The sequence below is a fragment of the Homo sapiens genome, chromosome 11, assembly GCF_000001405.40.
Source record: "Homo sapiens chromosome 11, GRCh38.p14 Primary Assembly".
NCBI classification, from domain to species: domain Eukaryota; kingdom Metazoa; phylum Chordata; class Mammalia; order Primates; family Hominidae; genus Homo; species Homo sapiens.
In genome coordinates, this window is record NC_000011.10 from 75,480,837 (window position 1) to 75,505,037 (window position 24,201).

The 24,201-nt window shown below is 51.2% G+C and overlaps 1 protein-coding gene across 16 annotated transcripts in view; it reads right to left on the reverse strand.

Moving 5' to 3' along the window:
• GDPD5 (glycerophosphodiester phosphodiesterase domain containing 5) overlaps positions 1 to 24,201 on the reverse strand; it is a 91,302-nt gene that overhangs the window by 46,197 nt on the left and 20,904 nt on the right. For 11 of the 16 annotated variants that reach the window (XM_047427654.1, XM_047427645.1, XM_047427653.1 and 8 more), the window contains 1 exon segment: positions 9,401 to 9,484. The gene's annotated coding sequence lies outside the window, so the exon portion shown is untranslated. 16 annotated transcript variants of the gene reach the window in all.

Here is a 24,201-nt window from a genome sequence, read left to right on the forward strand (position 1 = left end):
TATGAAAATTATATGAAAGTCAAATTTCAGTGTCCATAAATAACATTTCATTGGACGCAGCCATGCTCATTCATTTATGTATTGTCTACGGCTGTTTTAACTGTAACTGCAGTGTTGAGTAGTTGCCACAGAGACCATATGGCTTGCAAAGCCTAAAATACTGACTGTCTGGCCCTTTAGAGGGAAAGTTTGCAGACTCCTACAGTGACTGGGCTCTAATGGCCCACGAGCCTTATGGTAAGTGCAGTGTATGATGGAGGGAGGAAAGGGAGCCTGTGGGCACTGACCAAAGTGCAGGGAGGGTCAGAGTATGCTCCCTGGAGTCAGCACTGAGCCAAGGCTTGGTAGATGAGCTCCTAAGATGCCACTCTCCAAGGCCCCAGGGGCTGCACCGTAGGAGCACGCTGGGCTTCAGGCCCACTCACTACTTCTACCACCAGGCCTCACTCAGGGCCTCTGCCTATCCCTCCAACACCACCACCCAATGCTGACTTCACCTCAGTGCGGAGATTACAGCCTGCAGTCTGAGGGGGAAGATGCATTAGGGGCTTGCTGGGAATACTGAATGACCCAGAGTCTCCTGAGTGCTGGGAATTGACTGCTGCAGCCTCTGTTCCGGGGAGCCCTGGGGAGGCCTGTGGACTATGGTGCAGCTGCTGGGGCTTCCCTGAGCCAGGGCCTGGGGGACAGGCTGGGGTGGGGACACAGCTTGGCTCCCATGGGGCTAGAGAGACCATGGGTGGGGGTTGGTGTAGGGTGCTCTCAGCTTTACTATACTCCAGATTTGGGGAGTGCTGCGTGCCCACATAGGCACCCCCACATTCCCAGCCTTCCCGCAGGGGTGGGAGGCCAGGGTCCACAGCCAGGGGAGCCAGATCTCACCCTGTGCACTCCCTAGACAGGGTTCTCTACTGTCATGTCAGCCACTACATCTGCCCCCGCCTCCCCAGGAAGGGAGGAGGCGGGTGCAATGTGGAAAGAAGCCTAGCTTCATGCTGCCTCGCATTGACTTGCTCTGTGGCTGGGGCCACTCAGGCTCTTCCCTGAGCCTTGGTTTCTGAATCTGTAAAAGCAGGTAACAGCTGCTGCCTTGACTTCTATAGGACACACAATTGGGGGCAGGGAGGGGGAAAAGTGCCAGGAGGTACTGCAATGCTGAGGTACAACAGGTGGACATCCTGCAATGCACGTGGGAGCCCGCCCCAGGTTCCCCTGCCTTCACACTCCTTTCCCGGGACCCCCCTGCCCCTGGGACTAATTCCCACATGTCCTCTGCCGCCCCTCCCCTGTCCCCACGACTGCACATTACAACCCACCCAGGAATGGAAATTCCACTTCAAACCTGGAAAAGAGGGAAGTAGAAGTGCATGCGTCATGCCTCGGCCCAGAACTTCGCTGATACTGGCTCTCAGAGTCTCCTCTCCCCCTGGTGCATTTTTGTCCTGTTCATAAGTGTAGGGGATTCTCTGGGAGGCAAACCTCTTCTTTCTCTTCTGTATGCTCTCCTGGCTGCAGCCATCTTGTCCACTCTCACGGCTTTAGTTACCAGGTGCTGCCAAGGCCACCCAGGCTCTGCCTCTGATCGAGATAGCCAGCAGCTCCTGGATGTCTCCAGCGGTGTCACCCAGGCCTTGCAGACCCAGTTCAGCCACACTGCCCTCTACCACCCTTTTCTCAAGGCCCTTTTCTCGCCATCCCCACAGCCACTCCCCTGTTCAAGGCCTCATCTCCCCTGGCTGGGGACTCCTCCAGATTCCTTGCTTTCAGCCCCATCCCTCCAATCCAAACTCTTACCTGCAGCTGGACTGAACTTCCTAACAGGCAGTGACCGGGATCTGACCACTACTGCTTTTCCAGCCTTGCTTCCCTTCACCTGGTGAACACCTCCTGATCCTTCAAGTGTCAGATGTTCCCTCCTCCATGGAGGCCCGGTTTGGTTAGAGGTCTCCCCAGCCTCCCATATCCCTGGCATGTCCCTCCCTCTTACCTGGGCACACTGTGAGAGCACCGTGGACATGCCTGCCTCCCCCATGGGATGGTCTGCATTAACCCCATGTCCCCAGGGAGCAACACAGGGCAGCAAGAGCAGGAGGCACTAGGGACTTCTTGGACCATACTTCAGAGAAGTGCCCAGAAGTTCTGCTAACAGAGGCATGCTACTTACACCACACTCGGCCGCCGGGACGATCTCTGAGACGGGACTCTCTCCACCATCCCTCACCAGCCCATCCCCTCCCCTCCCCTTCCTGCCAGGGATAATGGCATTACTTAGGTCCAATCGATTTCTCCAAGCTACGTCCCAGGGCTGCTGATACCAGCCAAGTTCCCAAGAAATCCCCTGCCAAGAGCTACTGCTGGCTCTGGGACAAGAGAACGCTCTCACCTCTGAGCCTGATGTCCAAGGCCCCTCCCCAGCCCAAAGTCCTATTTTCTGTCAGAATTCCTGGCCCCTACCCTGTACTTGCACAGCCTCCTGCTTGCACAGGGAAAAGCAAGAGTCCATGACTGAGATGGAATAAACACGCACTATGGAGCAGAGGCAGGATGCTGGGATGGGCGTGCACCTCCGGCGTCCTGTCTCATCCTCACATCCCGGGACGCACTGGCCTGCTCCCCTACCCTTTCTCCCTCCCATAACTGCCAGGCCCACGCTGTGCCCCCCAGACTGCACTGCACTGCTCTCAGCTCCTTTTCTGATCATGAAGTGCCTGGATTCTAGCCTGGTCACCCTCAACTGAATTGCTATGTGACCTTGGACAGGTCACTACCTCTTCCCTGAGCCTTACTTTACCCATCAGGGAATGAGGACTAAATGAGGTAATACATGGAAGTGCTCAGGTCTGTAATAAAAAGGAATTGAGGCAACAACATGAATCTTGAAGACGTCATGCCAACTTCACAAAAGGCCACATATTGTATGATTCCATGTATAAGAAATGACCAGAATGGGCAAATACTGAGACAGAAAGTAGCTCAGTGAATGCCAGGGGCTGGGAGGATTGGGGAGGAAAGGCGGAGTGACTGCTAATAGGTGTGGAGTTTCTTTTTGGGCTGGTGAAAATGTCCCTGGCCAGGCATGGTGGCTCACACCTGTAATCCCAGCACTTTGGGAGGCCGAGGAGGGTGGATCACTTGAGGTCAGGAGTTCAAGACCAGCCTGGCCAACATGGTGAAACCCCGTCCCTACTAAAAATACAAAAATTAGCTGGGCAGTAGTGGCAGGCGCCTGTAATCCCAGCTATTTGGGAGGCTGAGGCAGGAGAATCACTTGAACCCAGGAGGCGGAGGTTGCAGTGAGCTGAGATGGCGCCACTGCACTCCAGCCTGGGCAAGAGAGTGAGACCCTGTGCGCCACCATCCAACCCTCCCACAAAAAAAGAAAATGTCCTGGAATTAGTGGTGATGGTTGCGAACTTTATCTCGATAAAACTTTTTTTGTTTAAGTGCCCAGGTCTGGAAGTCACATGAATGTCTGCACTAGTTGTGAGGTGCTGCGAGGTCAGCAGCAGCTGCACCAGAGGGGACAACAGCCTGGAAACCTTGGCTGTACCTGGGCCCTCTCCACTCCTACCCAGGCGTGGGTCTCCAGACCCCTCAGATTCTGGAAACAACTCTAGTTCCTTCCAAGGAACTCTTCTGCCAAATTAACCTGAATTGTTTCTGTTGTTTGCAATCCCAAACCTTGATTGGTATGAGGATATTCACTGTGTTGCCAGCTTTTAACAGGTTTTAAGCCCTTAATAAATGTGTTCCAGAACTGATTGAGGTCAAGTGCCATGGCTCATGCCTGTAATCCTAGCACTTTGAGGAAGCCGAGGCAGGAGGATCACTTGAGGCCAGGAGTTCAAGACCAGCCTGGGCAACATGGTGAGACCTCCATCTCTAAAAAAATAAATAATAATAATAAAAAGAACTGGCTGAGCTAACATATGTACGGTGTGAGTACTACCAGCCACAATAGTTACTGTTTGTTGTGCTAGCACTTGCTGCTGGGTGGTGTGGGCACTCCAGGTCATTGCTGGGTACTGTGCTGAGCATTGCATAGGCGTCCCCTCCCCTTGACAACCTTCCTGAGCAAAGGCCAATGGTCTTAACAGATTGCAAACATGGGCCTGAACGAATGGGCAAACCAACCACAGTGCATCCCACACAATGAGGAATATTATTTGGCAATAAAAAGGAGTCAGCTACCCAGCCACAAAAAGCAATGGAGAGACCTTGAAAACATATTGCTAAGTGACAGAAGCCAATCTGGAAAGCTATATACTGTATAATTCCAACTAAGTGACGTTCTAGAAAAGGCAAAACTATGGAGGTAGTAAAGAGATCAGTGGCTGTCAAGGACTCAGGGGGAAGGGAAAAATAAGTGGTGCTCAAGGAATTTTGAGGGCAGTGAAGCTCTTCTGTATGACACAGTAATGATGGACATGTGTCAAACCCCATAGAGTGTGCAACACAAGGAGGGAACTATAGCGCAAACATGGACTTTAGTCAATCATAATTAACCAATATTAGTTCATCAGTTGTAATAAATGTACCATATTAATATAAGATGTAAAGAATAAGCCAGACTATGGGGAGGAGAAAGGCAGAGGAGGGTATATGGAAACTCTCCGTACTTTCCAATCAATTTTACTGTAAACCTAAAACTGCTTTTGAAAAAGTGTATTAAATACACACACACACACACACACACACACACACACACACACACACGTGTGCACCCGCACCCAAGAGGTTAGGTAATTCACCCAAGGCCAAACAGCTAATCATGGAGGAGGGAGGATTTGAACCCGGGGCTGTTGACTCTAAAGTCCAGACTCTCCATGGTTGCAGCCCCACAGGGCGGGCCTGTTCACGTTTCTATCACCTTCCACGTCAATGCCAGCTGCAGCATCTGTATAACTGCAAATTGTACCTCAAAGGGCCAAGCTCAACATTTTGGTTGGTATCAGGAAAGCATAGGCAGAATGAGTCTAGGAACATTGGGGAGGAAAGGAAAAACCCCCAACAGTGCCAGGGCTGGTGGGGATGGGAGGCCGACCTTTGGCATTGTGCTAGGGCCCTGGGGAAGGGGGGCAAGCATGCAGATGGAGAGACACCCCCCTTCTCCTTGGCCGTGGCTGCCCTCGCGGGGCCTCAACCCCAGCCCAGCCCTGGGATGATGGTCTGAGGCTGAACTGGAACACCAGTAGGCTGAGTGACTGCCCCAAGCCTCTGGCCTCAGTTTTCCCATCTGTATCATGGGAGGGTTTGAGCACCCTTGGCTGATCTCCAAGGGCCTTTCCAGCACTCAACTTCTAAAACCCTTTAGCTACCCGCTCTCTCCTCACCCCCAGTAGCAAAGCAGAGAGGGGGCTGCTCGAGGAAAAGGGAAGGCCAATCCCTGATCCCTCCCTGTTCTGACTGGGGAAGAGCCCCCTCTGCTCCCACGACTAATCACTGGGCATCCTGACAGTCACCCTCCTGGGACGCAGTTCAAAACTTGGATGAAAGTGGCAGGAAGGCCCATACCAAGGTTAGGCACCTGGTCGTCCTGAGCACCAGGGCAGAGCTCTGGCCCTGCCCAAGGGCCTCCACCATCTTTGATAGGGATTAAGGTGTAGGTACATTGTGGCCTAGATGACTCACAAATAGTGGTGACCCCAAACTTCCCTTACAGTAAAATGCCAGGCATGAAAGGTGCAGGGCCATGGTTTCCATAGGGCTCCGGGATCATGGCCTTGGAGCAGGACCAGGGCCTTTCTGTGGTCCTTCCTCACCACTTCATCCATCCCTGCTCCCAACCCAGCTGTGCCTATGAAACCACCTTAGCCCTGCAGCCCCTCCACCTATCCTCAATGCCTGGCAAACTCCTGCTCATCTCAGCTCAGGTAGCCCCTCCTCCAGGAAGCCCTTCCTGACTGGGTCACTATCTCTTCTGGATCCCACAAATCTGTGTTTCCTGACCACTGTGTAGGGGCTTCCAGGAGATGGTGAGATCTATGCAGAATTCAGAAATGAGAAAAGATTTGCAGCACAAAGGGGAGAAGGAAGGGCATTTTAGGTAAGGAGACAGCACAGCGGAAGCCTAGGTGGCAGGGAGGGCAGTGATTGGGGCTTCTCCCAGGGCAGAGGGCATCCCAAACAGCTCACCAAGTGGACCGTTTCCCAAAACAAAACAACTAAACCCAAACCCACAAAACAAATCTCTGGCCCCAGGGTGAGGGCTGCAGGTGGGGGAGACAGGAAAGATTCTGGAAAAAGCCCAGCCAGTGAAATGTGGAACCCACCTATCCCCGGCCCTGCCCTGTGCTCTCCGGCCCCAGCCTCCTGCAGGTAGCTTTTCCGGGGTGCTCAAGACTCAGTCTATTTTCCATTGCATAGCCTCATTTGATGGCTTGAATGGAGAGATCCCCGGCTGCCACCAACTCACTGTACAGCCTTGGGGAAGTCGTTCCACCTCTCTGGGCCTCAGAGAAAGCCCTAGATTCTAATGGAATCTGCAGAGAAGGTAACCAGACCTAGGGGCAGGAAGGAATTCTAAGTCACAGGGGCAGCTGCCAGTGGGGAGAGGCTCGGGGAGGAGGTGCCTGGAAGGAGGCAGGGAGAGAGGCTTTGAGGTGAAGAGGCAGGTGGGGCCTGTGCCACCCAGGCCCTGCAAGCCTCCTCATTCTCTGGGGAAATGTTACTCAGTGGCTGAGGCTGGGGCTCAGCCAGAGCCTCCAAGAATCAATCATGCCATAATTAAGGTCACTATTAATCTCTTTCCACGGTGATGCCAGGGCCTCCTGTTTACCCAACACTTCTGTCCCAAGAGACCTCTGATTGCCATTCCTCTCGGGAGGAGGCTGGCAGGGCCCAGAGGCGAAGGTAGACTAGCTCTTCCCCAAATCAGGAGCCTGCCCAGGGGCCTTGGGTTCTCTTGGTACAGAAAGGACTTCTCTTTCCCAGGTCAGGGCTATGAGCTTGGGCTGAGTAGTCACCAAAAGTGACCTGGCCTTGCCCAGAGGGCACAGCTTAGCATCTCAGAACTCAAAATCTCAGGCTCCAAATGCCCCAAATTGGACCTCTAGAATCACTTCACCCAAGACTCACAGTGTCATGGAATCCTCATTGAATAATTCAACTGGTATCTTCAAATTATCCCTGGATTTCAGACTGCTAAGTCACAAAACATCAGCACCAAAGTCCTGGAGGCACTCCATCCAGCCTCCCCTTCCATTCAGAAATCCCCTGTGCTGCTCTTACTGGTGGTTCTCCAGCCTCTCCAGACCGGTCAGTGGCTTCCCTAGACTCACATACTCCTAGTGACAGGCCTCTCCCCTCCCTGGAGGGCTGAGTAGTTTTCTCCAAGCCACCAGGACTGTATTAAGGCCATCCTAAGAAGAGATCCTGCCCCCACCCCCTTCTCCCCCAGTGACACTGACAGGTTCTCTGGGGAGCAGGCAGAGCCAGTGAAGGCCCCGGGACTACTATTTGGGGGTAGTAGAGACTTTCAGCATCCCCCACCCTCAGTTTGACTTGTGCAAGCCCCTTCCAGGAGCCCAGTGGTTCAGCTGCAGGGGCCAGCCTGGCTTTTTCTGATGGCTCTTCCTAAGTCCCAGGGAGAGGGGAGTGGGAAAGTGGGGCACACCAAGTAAATGAAAGGGGGAGGAGGAGGAGGAACGTGAGTACAGTGGAGACTTGTACAGAGCAATCTTGTCTCTGTCCTCTCCTACCCCTCCTTGTACCACTGTGCTCCAAAGACACCACCTACCCAGCTTTCCCACCTCCATGCCTTCACTCAGGTTGGGCCCTCTGCCAGGAAAGCCCTCCCCAAATCCCAATCCAAATCCCAATCCAAATCCCATCCATCTTAACAAACAGACCCTGTGCAAAGCTTGGGCTGATTCCCCCCAACAAAAGCCCACTGCCTCCTCCTTTTTGTGCTCATATCATCTGGCAGAGCTCCTGAGAATGATCACAGGCCTCAGTGCGCTGTAATTATCTGCTTCCGTGGCTGCCTCACCCACCAGACTGGGAGCTTCCCCGGGTTCAGACTTCTGATCCACTTGGCCAAGCTTTTCTGAAGACCTATAGTGTCTGCAGCCCCACACCTGGTGATGGGGACACAAGATATGCCAGGCCCTGTCCTTGCTAGAAGAGTCACTGTATAGAGGACCTATGTCCCCTGCACTGGGCCTGGCACCAAGGAGGTACCTATTTAGTTGTCAGTCAAAAAGCTGGTTAAATGTGAGACGGAAGGAAAAAAAGAACCAATCAAAGCATCTTACACCACACAACTGCAGAGCCACTTCTGAAAGCCTGAATTCTGCCTCTGAATAATAATTAGCCTCTTCCCAATTTACAGAAAAAAAAATTACAAAAAAAAGACTCAATTAGGTACTTTTCTCTCACAAATTTTTCTTAAACCTCTGATATCCATTTGCACATTTCTGTACCATATCTAGTGTAAGATGACCTCAAATCTGGCACAGGATACTAATTTCATCACTGTCATGAACATCACTACTCTTCACAGTCTTCTGCAAAGAACAGCAGTCTCTGCTTCCAGGCAGGTCCGAGAACCTGGGGCCTAAACTTTTCCTCCCTTCCTTCAAATGTCGAGGTTTCACCTTGGTGACCAATGAAAACCGAGCTTGCTCGAATGCTGAGGAAGAAAGTCCCAGGAGCTGGCTGGCCCACCTTGAAGGTTCATGCTAATTCCATGATATAAGGCCTCCAAATCCACTATTTGTCATTCATTCCTTTGGAGGAAGCATCACTTTCTCTAGGATTCTCTTTTAAAATATAAATCTTCTCTGGAGGTGGAAGCCCATTCAACCCTCAGATTGGAGGTTAAGGAAACTTAGTTTAATGCTGGGCTCTTGAGAGGCAGTAAATCACAGGGTTTGTGAAGAGGTCAGCCTGCCTGGGTTTTCATTTTTTTTTTTTTTTTAGAGACACAGTCTCACTCTGTCGCCCAGGCTGGAGTGTAGTGGCACAATCATAGCTCACTGCAGCTCGAACTCCTGGGCTCAAGCAATCTTCCTGCCTCAGCCTCCCAAGTAGCTGGGACTACAGGTGCATGCCACCATGCCTGGCGACCTGCCTGGGTTTGAAACCCAGCTCTAACATGTATTTAATGGAGCAAGTTTCTAAATGCCTTTATACCTCAGCTTCCTTATCTATAAAGCAGGGATAACCATGGCATCAGCCTCATGGGCTCTCAGACAAGTATCTGGAACGCTGTACTAAGCAAGAGACAAGTCTACTCAGAGCTTCAGTTTTTTCCTGTCCATAAAATGGGACGATAATCCCATTTATGCCTTTTTCATAAACTCCCCCATGGGGGAGGTGGACATTGTGTAAGAACCCAGTCAGCTGCCCTCTGCAGTCTGTCTTGAACTCCTTTCTTCCTCCCTCCTTTTCTCTTTACCTGGAAGAAGGTACCGGTGGCTGTGAGCTGGGCTCCTGGAGGTGTCTTGTCCACAGAGGCAGTGATATCACTTCACTGGGAGAGCTGAGAGGACAAGGGGATAAATCCAGTGAGTTCATTCATCAGTCCATCCTGCCTTCTACTGTCCCACGTGACCCTTAGTGAGCACCCATCCTGTTCCCTCCCTGTGCTGGGTGTGGGGCCCAGTGATGGGTGACACCGAGTCCCTGCCCTGGGGAAGCCACAAAGCTGGTGGATGGGCTGACAGGACATACGTGATCTAATACCCAGCCATGAAACCCAGCACATGCAATCCACCTCCACGCATGCTGCCCACAAACCAGCCCCAGGCCCAGACCCAGATAACCTGTTTCCTGAACCACTCCTGCCCCTCCAGGACCCACGGATCCAGGATCCAAAGCCCAGCCACCCTGGGGGCAGAGGCCCTTTCACGCTGCCCAGGGTCCTGCTTCTCTGAGGTAGCTGCCAAACCAGCTTGTTCTTCTAAAGCAGCCGCTAAGGGAAGGACGGTAGCCCGGAGGTGGGATCTGGGGCACCACAATTACATGCCTGAGCTCTGACTCACGCACCACCTCCCCCATTGCCAGCTCCTGCAGCCAGCAGGGCAACCCCCCACCCAGGAATTGGGAAAAGAGATGGTACCAACAGGCCACGGGAAGCAGAGGGGCCAGGAGAGGTGAGGAGGAGACTGCAGACCAGCATTGCAGGCTTCAGAGGATGCTGACACCTTGTCTACTAGGGACACTGAGGCTGCAAGGACGGAGGCCTACCTACATCACATAGAGGCAGAGCCAGGGCTGGGACCTGAGCCTCCTGGTGCCAATATAACAACTCTCCCCAACCCAACTGGATTCTAGAGCCACACACCAGCAAGAAACACATAACCAAACACACACCTCTGTGTGTGAACCAGAGGTGGACAGAGCTGGACTCAGAGACAGCTCGGAAATGACAGCCACAGAGAGATCAGCACTTGAGACACTCCCAGGCCTGCCCTTCTGCACCTCCAGGTTCCTCACAGTGCCCTGAATGTACAGCACTTTACAGTTTATTAAACATACTTATTTCCTCTGCCCCCTACAATGATCCTAAGGCCTAAGTGGCAGAGGAAATATAAATAGACCAGTGGCTTCTCCTCTAAACTTTAATGTTTGAGAAGCCATGGTCTCTTTATATTTCCTGGGGCCTTGGACCTTGGAAACCTAGGGAACTTGTTAAAATGTGGTCTGACTCAGTTAAGTCTAGGCTGGGGCCTGAGATTCTGCATTTCTGATAAGCTCCCAGGTGATGCTGATGCTGCAGGTCCCTGGACCACAATTTGAGTAGCAAGGCCAGAATGAGTCAAGAGCATGGGACCTGGAGTCGAACTACACAAGTTAGAATCTTGGCTCTTACTGTGTGACCTTGGGCAAATTACTTAACCTTTCTGTGCCTCAATCTCCTTAGGTATAAAATACTACTACTAATAAAACCTACCCCATAGGGTCAATGTGGGGATTAAATTAGTTACCATATGTAAAACACTTAAAGTGACTATTATTTCAGATTTTGAAATGGAGGTTCTGAGAAGTGAACACACTCAGCAAGGCGGCAGAGCCAGAATTCAAGCTCAAACCTACAAGTGGCACAAAATGTCACAGCCATCAAGCCCCTCCCCCCATTAGACAGACATGGATATTGAGGTCCAGAGAGGGGCAGAAAACTGAAATGACCACCAGAAAGTTGGTGTGAGAAATACAAGTCCATGACTCCATCCCAGTGCTCCTTCCACCACACCTTACTGCCTGTCAGGAAGGAAAGTACCGCAGAGTCTCCCCAGGGCTGTCAGCTCTGCTGTCAGCCTTACCTGGGCCCATGGCTGCCCTGGAAACTACCTGTGGGGTTGTCTGGACGCGGAGGCCGCCCCCATCCCCACTCTGCCCTCTCTCCATCCTGCCCAATAGGCTGGGTGAGGCAGAATGGTCTCACATCCTCCTGCCATTCCCCTCCTCCTACCTCCAGCCTGTGCCCACTGCCCTGTGTCAGGTCACCCAGCTGGGGTCTCAGGTAGAGGGTGACACGCCCGGGTCTGGCTCCACCCCCACCTTGCCTTCCCAGCACGGGGCCAATGGGAGCCTGTGAGTCACCTGAAGGAAGTGCTCGGCCCCAAACAGGAAGTGGCTCTTCAAGCAGAAAACCCCTGCAGGATCCCCCAGTGCCCTGGAGCAGATGGCTTAGTAGTGGAAGCTGGTGAAGGAAGGGAAGCTGATTGGGACACAGCAACATCTACTCAGATTTTACCTGACATTCAAACTTGGGACTCACCCTCCACTTTTTGCTGCCTGGCCTGAGGACTTTTCTGCTGTGGACTGGCTGTATGCCTTAGGTACATCAGTACCCTCTCTGATCCTCATTCATAGGATCATGGACTGCACTAAAAGACTGCTATAACCTGGTAGTCCACATGAAATGAAGGGTTGGAGCAAGTGAATATAGGGTTTTATTTTATTTTTGAGACGGAGTTTCGCTCTTGTTGCCCAGGTTATAATGCAGTGGTGTAATCTTGGCTTGCTGCAACCTCCACCTCTTGGGTTCAAGTGATTCTCTTGCCTCAGCCTCCCGAGTAGCTGCGATTACAGACACACACCCCACCCAGCTAATTTTTGTATTTTTAGTAGAGACGAGGTTTCACCATGTTGGCCAGGCTGGTCTTGAATTTCTGACCTCAGATGATCCACCCGCCTTGGCCTCCCAAAGTGCTGGGATTACAGTTATGAGCCACTGCACCTTGCAAATATAGGGTTTTAAATGAATGAACAAATGCACATGAGTGAAACGAACGAGTAAATTAAGATACCTAGATATAAAACTCTAGCTACAGTGTAAGATCTATCATTTGTCTATTGTTCATTGTATGATAGAGAACTCTTTATTGGCAAGAAGACCCACCCCCCGAACACCCTTAGACAGGGAAAAGGGGCCCCCACACATCTCACACACACACACACACACACACACACACACACAAATAAATTCATTAAGAGTACACAGGAGCCTCTGTCACATTATACTCATGTGACCTGTAATCCTAAACATTCGCTCCTAACACCTCTAAGGCCCTAGTTAAACTCTTCTCTGTTTTTTATTTTTTTATTTTTTTAAGGCATGCGTTGTGGACTGGGTCTCACTATGCTGCCCAGGCTGGAGTGCAGTGGCTATTCTCAGGCAAATCATGGCAGACTACAGGTTTGAACTCCCGGACTCAAGCAACCCTCCCACCTCAGCCTCCCGAGTAGCTGGGACTACAGGCATGCTACCACGCCAGGCCTCTCCATTTCTCAAACTTGAAGAACAAAAGGTGATTCTGTTAAGATGCTGTGAAGGTCTATGGGTCGTGTTGCTGCTGAGGAGGGAGATGGATGCTGCTTGGGGGAGGAGTGCAGCAGGGGGGGGCCTAAGTGGCAAAAATATATAAGAGGGAGACAAGTTAGCTTGTCAAAGCCTTCCTCCCAGACAGCAGCGAGCACCAGTTTCTTGCATAAGCAAGCATCTCTATTCCGGTCTTGCTGTGCATCCTTTATTTTGGCATTTCTTCCTGCTCCAATTTGTGGTTCTAAAAGTACTCATGAATTAGTGTGATATTCACAAAAATGCACATGGTGGCTGAGGAACATCTTACAACATTCTGCAACTCACATTACTCACATTAATGTAACATGAAGTCTGGTATTAATTCTTTAAATTTGCAACTAGATGGACATTGAATACTAGAACTGTGAATAGTTTCATTTCTATAAAATTTTCAAAAATTTAATTAATATTTCATGTCTATTTAAAGATTTTATTTAAAAATCTGATCTTCATTAATTGTGATGGGTATAGCTTTAATTTTAATAGATGATTTTATGGAATAAAAACACTCTTGAAAACATACAATAAATTTTCCTATGTTTATATTTACATTCGTTTACTTTTTTTTTTTTTTTTTTTTGAGACAGAGTCTCGCTCTGTCACCCAGGCTGGAAGGCTGGAGTGCAGTGGTAAGATCTTGATTCACTGCAACCTCCGCCTCCCAGGTTCAAGTTATTTTCCTGCCTCAGCCTCCCAAGTGGCTGGGATTACAGGCATGTGCCACCATGCCCAACTATTTTTCTATTTTTAGAAGAGATGGGCTTTCACCATGTTGGCCAGGCTGGTCTCGAACTCCTGACCTCAAGTGATCTGCCTGCCTCAGCCTCAGTGCTGAGATTACAGGTGTAAGCCACTGCATGTGGCCACAGTTCATTTTTAGTTATTCCATAAAATCTTTACTTTAGCAAGATCACTAATTATATTGTTATAATCAAGATTTTCATCACTTGTGTTCTGTTGATGGCAATAATCTAAAAGACTAAAAGTAAAATGTGATTGTATTTAAAGTACATAAAATTTGATGGCCAGATGCGGTGGCTCACGCTTGTAATCCCAGCACTTTGAGGGCCTAGGCAGGCAGATCACCTGAGGTTGGGAGTTCGAGACCAGCCTGGCCAACATGGTGAAATCCCGTCTCTACTAAACATAAAAAAAATAGCTGGGCGTGGTGGCATGCGCCTGTAATCCCAGCTATTCAGGAGGCTGAGGCAGGAGAATCGCTTGAATCAGGCAGGCAGAGGTTGCAGTGCACTACCATCATGCCACTGCACTCCAGCCTGGGCAACAGAGTGAGACTCCATCTCAACAACAACAACAACAACAAAATATATATATATAGGCTGGACATGGTGGCTCACGTCTGTAATCTCAGCACTTTGGGAGACCGAGGCGGGCAGATCACAAGGTCAGGAGCTCGAGACCATTCTGGCTAACATGATGAAACCCCGTCTCTACTAAAAATACAAAAAATTAGCCGGGTGTGATGGCACGTGCCTGTAGTCTCAGCTACTTGGGAGGCTGAGCCAGGAGAGTCGCTTGAACCCGGAAGGTAGAGGTTGCAGTGAGCCAAGATTACGCCCACTGCACTTCAGCCTGAGTGACAGAGCTGTCACTCTGTCACACACACACACACACACTATATATAAGTCTGAATTTAATTTTATATATATATATAATTTGAATATATATTCAATATAATCCTAGCTACTCAGGAGGCTGAGGAAGGAGAATCACTTGAACCTGAGAAGCAGAGGTTGCAGTGAGCTGAGATCGTGCCACACTGCACTCCAGCCTGGGTGACAGAGTCAGACTCTGTCTCAAAAAAAGAAAAAAAAGAATTGTTAAGTCTTATTATTTATATCTGAACATCATCAGCTTAACAATATACTCGGAGATGTGCAATAAATTCAGACATTCTTGATATTTTATCACTCGCAGTCAAATAAAACTAAACTTTACACAATGTAAATATGTACACAATGTACGTATTTCAATGTACATTGTGAAGGTATATTTGTCAAGGAGGGAAGGAGGGAAAATCAAATCTATTTTATTTAACAGTCTCCTGGCTTGCTTTACAATCTTCGAATATCTGACAAAGATACATGGATCTCTATTTGTATTTTTGCTCTCAGTGCTCCAAATTTAGGAGAGGCCTGTCCACTCCCCACCCACCACCTCTCATGTTGTGGGGCCTAGACCCCCTGTGCTGGTGACTTCACATCTGTGAGCAACTGCTTGTCTGTCAGCCAGCCCTGCCTTCCCCAGTTTGCCTTTTACAAGTGCTTTCCACATGGAAGGTCCTTATGCTTATGCCTTGTGCATGGGGCTGTATTTCCAGGGCAGTAAGCACTCAAATTTCCTCAGGGGCAGTGATCACAACTTGACTGGCCTCTTCCACAGACCCTGTACTCCTTAAAGTCCCTTCAGCTCCAACAGCATCTTGCAGGGGAGCCAGGGTGCCCCGGGTCTTCCAACCCCAGTTCTTGTTACACTATCCCCCTGGAAAGGGAGCCGGCTAGGCTGGGAGGGCCCAGCAGCCTCTGCTGCGCCAGGCTAGAAGCCCCCCGCCATCCAGCTGGGCAGTGGTCATGGTGACCTGTAGCCCATAGCTATTTTCCTCAGCCCCTGACACCTGGGCTGGCAAATCTCCACATTCCTTGCCCACTGCTCTTCCTGGCATGTTTCACAAAGAGCTTCTAGAGAGCAGGAAGCAAGTTGGGGAGGTGGGGGAGCAGAGGAGTGAGCAGGAGACTGAGAGCCAGGAGACCTGGCTTTTCTTCCTGGCTTGGCCACTAGAAGGCAGGTCAACATCTTCCTATGTCATATGGGGACACTGGGACCTGCCCAGATCCCCTCTTGGGATGACAGGGAGAACCAGTGAGCAGGACGTGACAGGACTGTGTAAACTGTACAGTGTGCAGTGGCTGTAACAGGGGCCAGACCCCATCTCCCTCATGTTTCCTGCTCAGCCTGGCACAGTGCCGAGGGCCCATCTATTGTAATACTGCCCAACATTTACAAGGGCTGGACATACTCTCTGTACGAGGCCAAGGTTTCTATGTACGCTATCTGACGCCTCTTAGCCTCCCGCTGCAGACTATTTTTCTTTTTTTTTCTTTTCTTTCTTTCTTTTTTTTTTTTTTTTTTTGTGACGGAGTCTCGCTCTGTTATTCAGGCTGGAGTGCAGTGGCGCGATCACAGCTCACTGCAACCTCCGCCTCCCAGGCTCAAACAATCCTCCCGCCTCAGCCTCCTGAGTCTCTAGGACTATAGGTATGTGCTACCATACCCGGCAAATTTTTGTATTTTTTTTGTAGAGACGGGGTTTTGCCATGTTGCCCAGGCTGGTCTTGAACTCCTGAGCTTAAGTGATCTCCCCACCTTGGCCTCCCAAAGTGCTAGGATTACAGGCATGAGCCACCATGTCCGGCTGCAGTAGATATTTTTTATAGATGGTAAACAGAGCTCGAGAGGGTTTAGGGTCTCTTGAATTCATACTCTTACTACCAAGCCAGTCTAGACACCAAAAATCTAGTCACCAACGCACATTTCCTGAGCTCTCCTGTGTGCCCAGCAGACAGACGCAGCCCCTGCTGGAGGAGCCCATGAGCTAAAGGTGTAGACAAACACACCAAGCGCATCATGTGAACAAAGGTGGCAGGACGCGTAAGGGGTGGAGGCCTTGATGGTGGATCAAAGTTGTCTCCCGGCCTCACCCCCAGCCTGGCACAGTGCTGGACCCACCACAGGCAGCAGTAATACCCAGGAGTGAACAAACTTGTTTTCCTGACATTCACCTCCCCAACCTAGCCACTCCCTGCCTGCCTCCTGGACAGTGAGGGGGCTCTGGAATTTTTAGACCACTTTCTCCTCTGGGACCACCACCCTAAGGGCACCCTCTCTCGGCGCCTGCAGGTGCCCCAGGCCTCTGCAGTGGATTGTACGTTAAACCTGGTGAAAGTAAAACTGTACTTATCTGAGCACAGAATCCCTTATACAATAGGTACTCAATACATGGGTATCAGATGAGTTAATGAGTTTGCAGCAGTGACTGACCACTTCGGTGCCTGGCTCAGTTCATCCTGACCACTGGGGGCTTAATTCAAGTTCTGAACCAAAGAGGGGTTAGTGGGCCAGGGCAGAGCTGATAAAGAGTAAGATGCTCACTTAACCGGCCATGGGGCTGGGAGCAGGTCCTGGCCCTCTCTGCTCTTTTGCTGTGTGATCACCGGCAAATCACTTCACCTTTCTGGGCATCCACTGCGTCAAGCAGGGATTAACACCATGTTACAATCTCCTGATTTTAGTTGAGCACATACAAAATGGGTTACAAACATAGGGCACTGAGGCTCAGAGACAGGAGGTGACTTGGCCAAGGTCACACAGCAGGTGACAGAGTGTGGACTAGCACCCAGGCCTGTCATGGTCTGTTGTGGGGGGCTGGTGGAGGGGGGGCTGACTCCCAGAGGCCTGAGTGGGGAGGCCAGATCATGGGTAACATCTCTTGTGATGTCACAGGGGACAGGAGAGAGTTAAGGGTGGATCCCATGAGGGCTAACCCAGGCTGACATCACCAGTGAAAGTGAGAGTCACATAGTCAGAGTCTTAGGATTTAGTCAGTACAGCCAGGAAGGGCAACCTGTTTATTTGTTCCTGGAATGTGTTGACCAACGCAAGTTCCCCCAAGTGATCCCTGAGCACCGTCTATGGAAACACAGAGTGGGTGGGCTAGGAAGAAAAGCCAAATTCAACTCAGGTGGGGATGGGCCACAGTGGCTTTGATGTCCTCTATGGGCATTTGGTGCCTCCATGGCCTTGAACTAACCTCTGCCCTTAAGCCTTGTCCCACCTCCTACTCGTCACTGATGCCCTCCGGGCTGGGTGGGTGGGCTGGGAGGGAGAACTACAGCAGGTTACCAGGGCCTCTAGGGCTGGGAGGGACCTGGACTGGTTGGAGAGATTGCCCAAAGCCAAGTCATCTGGGAGAACAATGGGGGCGGGAGCTCTGTGGGATTTTGCCTCTAGAAGCTGACAGAGAAAGACCTGGGGCTAGAGAAGCAGTGGAGCACAGTGGGGCTCTCAGAAGGCACTGCCCCTTGCTGACCACACAGCCTGGGATTCCCCCTTCTGCACACCCCTTTCTCACAGCTGTCACTTGCTGGTGCCAGGTCCTGGGCAATCAGCACCTTACATGAGTCTGTTGACTCAGGAGGGAGAGGTATGAATTCTCCAGCATCTTTGCCCCTGGAGGGTCAGCCCTAGGGTATGACTTACAGTGTCCCTCTGGAAGACAAAGCCAAAGTTCCTTCTATGGAGCTTGGCTGGAAATAGCCTCTTGCTTCTCCTCCTTCTCTTTCTGCTTCTACGTTTCCTATTCCCTTAGCAGGTTTCCCTCAGCAGGGAAGCTTCCTAATGAGTCACTGTCACACGAATCCTTGTCTCAGGGTCTGCTTCTAGGTCTGCTTCAGGTGTCTCAGGTGGGTGCCATCAATGCTTCCATTTCAGAGATGAGGAAACTGAAGCTCAGATCTTTCCTGTGAAAGATCCCCATCTTGCAAGCAGCAGAACATGCACTTGAATTGACGTCTGCCAGGTGCAAAGCCAAGCACTGACCCCTCCCCTCAGGTCCCACCCCTTTGTCCACAGCCATCATCATCTGAGCTGGTTTATACCCCCAAATGCCACTGTCCCTTCCTGGACATCTGGTCATCTAGGCTAACTTTCCTTCTTTCTTCTTCTTTTCCTTTTTTTTTTTTTTTTTTTTTTTAACTGGAAGGAAAGGAGAAGAATGTGCAGATGATCCAAGGGGGATGACTAAGTCTTCAAATTCCTCTGGTTGGCTCAGACCCTGTTTTGGTCAATCCTTGTGAATCAGGGCGGGTCTGACATTCTGGGAATGCAAGGAGACTTCAAATCATCTTCATGAAAACAAGTTGTAAAAATACTGACCGCCACTCCAAGTGGCCAGCTGATAGGCTTGGCTCCATGGAGCAGGGTTGAACAAGTTCACCAGAAGGGAACACACAGCGGGAAAGACTTAGGCTAGACCCAAAGGAAGAACTTCCCTGTAATTGAGAGCTGGGCCCAGAGATGGGGTTGGGTGTGGCCTCTTTGGAAGCAGGCCATCCACGTCCTGACCTTCCTAGGCCTTTCTTGTTTGCAGTGTCTACGAAACAGCTTTGGTGAGCACTGAAGATGCAAAAACCACCAGAGGCCAACCCCGCCCAGCCCTGAGCTTCAACTCCTGACCTGAACCTGGTTTACGAGGATGCTCTGAGCTAGTGGAGCTTCTGCCTCCTGGGATCCTCCCCACACCCCAGGGTGGCTGCTACCACCATACCCTGCAGATATGAAGACTGGCAGAGGTCAGGGCAAGACTGAAGGCTGCCTGCCCAGCACTGCACCTCCTTCACCCTCAGCCCTCCACAGCCATTCCTCCAGAAAGCACCACCCCCTCCAGGCACCCTCCCTGCCCCTGGCAGAGGACTAGGCGGGTGTCTACAGATGACCACTTCACCCTCCCTCCTCCCTCTGGCCTCTCCTCTCTCCTCTTCTGGCTCCTTCCAATCAGCAGTGAGCAGGCCTGGGGCTCATGCAGTTCATCCCCTGCACCCCTTCCCAGCTCTCCTCCCTTTCTCTCCTCCCTTCTCATCCAAACTTCTGAGAGTTGTCTGCACCCATATCTCCACTTCGTCCCACCCACTGCAAAACCCATTACCCTCTGCTGCCACCAAGTTCAACAATGGCTTCTGTGTGGGTAAATCCATGGGGCACTTCTCCATCCTCAGCCACTGATTGCCTGGTTGTTTGTCCCCCTTTCTGGCCCCACCTCACCAGCCCCTTCGCTGGATCCTCTCTGCCCAGGCCTGAATGCTGCTGCTCTCAATCCTAAGCCCCCTTTCCCTCCCTTGCCCATCACATCCTTCTTGGCAGTATCATCCACCCCACGGTTTCAACCACCCATCTCTGGCTGGACCAAGTTCAAGACTCAAGTATCCTGCAACCCTCTGGTCATCTGCACCTGGACATCCCACAGGAAGCTCATACCCACAGTGGCCAAATGGGAACTCCTCTTCCTTTCCACGCATTTCAAGACACCTCCATTCCCTCCAACCTCCAGGCCTGGAAGATGAGAATCACCCTCCCCATCTCCCTTTTCTTCAAACCCGCCAGTGCCATCTGACGCCAAGCCCAGCTCTGTTCTCTATCTCCTTCCTCTCATCCCCCAAACAGCTCTGTAGTCACCACTCAAACTCCTCCTGTAGGAAGCCCTCCCTGACTCTCCAGCAGGCCTGGGCATGCCTTCACCTGTTTTCTTGTGCCCTGTACAGCCATCCATTCAGCAGCCACGCTAGTGTCCAACTGCATAGCTGACTGCCTGGGCTGGCTCTGGAAGGTAGGGGCAGGGTCTGATCTGACCCTGGGTCCCCAACACCGAGGCCAAGTGCAGCATGAGGGGTCCCAAAGAGGTTTCTCAAATCTGGGAACTTGTATTTCTGCTGAGTTTGCCACATTGGTGAGGTCTGGATCTTCCCTCAGACCACAGGCCCCCAGGGGCAAGGGCTATACCCTGGCTCGGCCCCTCCTCGCACTTAGCCCCTTTCAGAGCACCCTAACCTGACTGCCATTTATGACAAGATAACCATGGGGGCCCTGAGAGAGCCTAAGAGGCCCACCTCATACTTGTGCAAACACATGCGAACACACAGAGACATCCAAAAAGACATAGGGCACATATTCACGGACAGACACAGGTGACATGAGTGGGCACACTGGCGCAAGCATACAGGCTCCCAGAAGTACATGGAGCCATACAAAGACAGGTCCACAGGGACACAAACATCCTGGAAACAGGGACTCGGGCCATGGCCTCGCTCAGAGTCACCTGCTCCAGGGGTGAAGCCTTTGGCTGGGCCAGGGCTCCAGGCTGGTGCTCGGGGCTCCAGAGCAGGGGCTCAGGGAGACGTGGCAACAGCCACCTGAACAGTCTGGCCTGTTCCATTTGGACTCTGAGGCTGTGATCAGAGTGGGGAGGGGTGCTGGGAGAGGAGAGGGTGAGAGAGCAGGAGCCGCTCTCCACAGACAGGGCTGGGGGCAGAGGAGGAGGCCACCGGCCCTGCTAGGCTCCTCCAGACCCCTCTGCCAAGGGAGTTACACTTCCACCCTCCCCTACCAAAGAGCCAATCTGAGCAGAGAACAATCATGAAGTTTCTAATTTACTGGAAGAGGAGGGAAAGCAAGCCAGGGTAGGTATGTGTATCACATTCAAAACTGATGTAAATGACCCGCGCCAAACACCTGGGTGTGAGCCCCATCAGTCCTGACCTCTCCCTACACCCCCAAGTCCAGTATCTCCCCAGATCCTGTTGATTTGCCCTCAGAAATGGCTTCCTCATGATGGTACTCAAGCCTCTCATATTGCTGCCTGAGAAACAGAAGGACATCCTGGAACCTACAGGATTAAGTACAAACCCTACACGCAAAACTTTTTTCAACCTGCCCACAACTCACTTTCCAGTCATTTCCTTCCCTCCTCACCTCAGGGCAGCCCTGCCACCTGGAGCTAAGTCCCTGCTCCAGGGACTCCCTTCTCCAGCTCAACACTTTTGCAAAGTTAATTTCTTCTGTGTAGAATGCCTTTCCACTTGCCTCAGTTTGGTGAACTCCTATAGATCCCTCAATACCCAAATGGGAAATGCTGCTATTCAGTGGATTGGCTTCCACAGTGGCAGTCACATCCTAAGGTCAGCACATCACGAATAAGTTGCATATGGTCAAAATCACCCTTGGCTTTATCTAGCTACCATTTATATATGATGCCTAGGCATTGTTCTAGGCATTTCCTGTGTTTACTCATCTAACTCTCACAACTGTAGCAGATGGTATTTCCAAAGACATCTGCAGCAATGTCTCCCATCCTACACCCTCTTCTTACAAAGTGATGCTGACACCAGTCCCATGGAGAGAAGTGGCGTCTCTGTCCCCCCACTTGAATCTGAGAAGGCTTGGGAGTAATGGCTGAGGTGACACTACGGCACTTTCAGGGACAGGTCATTGAGTGTGAAGCAGCTTCTGCCTCCTTCACCAGGACACTCCTACTAGAGCCCTGCACCACCGTGTAGACACTGTGATTGCTCTGAGACTGCCTTGCTGTGGGAAGGCTCAAACAAGCCTGCAGAGAGAGAAAAGAAGGCCTGAGACTACGCAAAGAGTGAGAGAAGCTGGGCAAACCTCCGGGTGCCCCAGCTCCTCCCCACTCTAGACGCCACCTGACAGAAACCAAGTGAGACCCTGACCAAGAGCCACTGGGCTGAGCCCAAGGCTGAGCTCAACTTAAATTCCTGGCCTACAGAAACTGTGAGATAATGATTGTTCTTTTTCTTTTTTTGAGACTGAGTCTCGCTTTATCGCCCAGGCTGGAGTGCAGTGGGACATCTCAGCTCACTGCAACCTCTGCCTCCCGGGTTCAAGTGATTCTCCTGCCTCAGACTCCTGTGTAGCTGGGATTACATGTGTGCACCACCATGCCCAGCTAATTTTTGTATTTTTAATAGAGATGGGGGTTTCATCATGTTGGCCAGGCTGGTCTCGAACTCCTGACCTCAGGTGATCCGCCTGCCTCAGCCTCCCAAAGTGCTGGGATTACAGGCATGAGCCACCACGCCCAGCCATGATTGTTCCTATATAAAGTCACTAAATTTTGGGGTCATTTGTTACGTGACAACAGTAACTGGAACAAATATAAATTATGAACTATCATTCTCCTCACTTCAGAGAAGGATCTGAGGCAGAGAGGCTAAGCAACTTGTTCAAGGTCATAGAGGTAGTAACTGGCAGAACTGGGATTTGAACCCAGGCAGTTTAGCCTCAGAATCCACACTATTCACTGCTATGCCATACTGACTGCCTGCAAGGTCTGATTGGTCTCCCAGCCCACAGCAGGCCTCAGGGAGTGGTTGCTGAATAAATGAGCGAAGGAAGGAATAGGCAAATGAATGAATGAAAGTGAGCAAAAGCAGAGTGAGCTCCCAGGTGCAAGGCAAGGACCTTAGAGAGCCTGCACCATGCAAATGAGTCTGACGTGAGTCTCCTTGTTGCTGAAGCAGCTCCGCTGTCCACAGCCCTGGGGAAAGTCAGGCGATCAGAGGAGACTAGCAGGTGCCATTGGCCTCCACCCACTACAGATGCTCATCTCTTGAGCCTCCTGAGATGTTCATCTCCCAGCCCCCTGCCTCCCCCAGCCCTGAATGCTGCAGGATTAGACATAGGCCCCTGGGGAGCTGATCCCTCCTAAGGACAAGGCTTGCGGATCTCAGGGACTGGAGGGGGAAGGTCCCCAGGCTGGAGAGCCAAGTTTAATCCTGGCATGGCCATTGACTGGCTGGGTGAACTTGAATGAGTCCCTGCCCCTCTCTGTGCACAGGTGCTCTCCAGCTCCAATATTCTGAGATTCACCACATGCTCAGCTGCCCTCATGGATGGGTGCAGGTGAGCTGTGGGTCCTATAGCCATGGGCAAAAGGGACCTGTCCCTAGAGGGAAAGCGGAAAACGAGAATGAATCCCACCTACTACTCACTGCAAGTCTGCTGTACGCCAAGCATTTCAACATGAACAATTTCTACTCCTTGCAGCAATCCCACTGGGCACGGTGGCAGGTGAGGAGGGCCTTAGATTCAGCTAAAGGAGGCTAAAAGCCAGGGTCCAACCCAGGCCCATCCAACTTCAAAACTCCCTACTCTTGTGACAAGAGCCAAGAAGTGGAACAACCCAAGGGTCCATCGACAGGTGAACGGACAGACAGAATGTGGTCTAGCCACACAATGGAGCAGCACTCCGCCTGAACAAAGAAGGGGATCCAGCCACATGCTGCAGCATGGATGAACCATGAGGACACTATGCTAAGTGAAATAAGCCAAATATTGTACACTTCCACTTATATATGGTATCTAAAATAGTCAAACTCAGAAACAGAAAGTGGAATGGTGGGTGCCAGGGGCCAGAGAAAGAGGGAGAAATGGGGAGTAGTTGTGTAATAGGTATAGAGTCTCAGTTTTGCAAGATGAAAAAGCTCTGGAGATCTGTTGCACAAGAATGTGAATATAGTTAACATACGGAACTGTATTTAACATGGTTACGATGGTGCATTTTATGTTTGTTAACTTAAATAATACAATTTTTAAAAATACTCTCACTCGGCCAGGCACAGTGGCTCACGCCTGTAATTCCAGCACTTTGGGAGGCCGAGGCAGGCGGATCATGAGGTCAGGAGTTCGAGACCAGCCCGACCAACTTGGTGAAACCCAGTCTCTATTAAAAATACAAAAATTAGCCGGGTGTGCGCATGCCTGTAATCCCAGCTACTCAGGAAGCTGAGGCAGGAGAACTG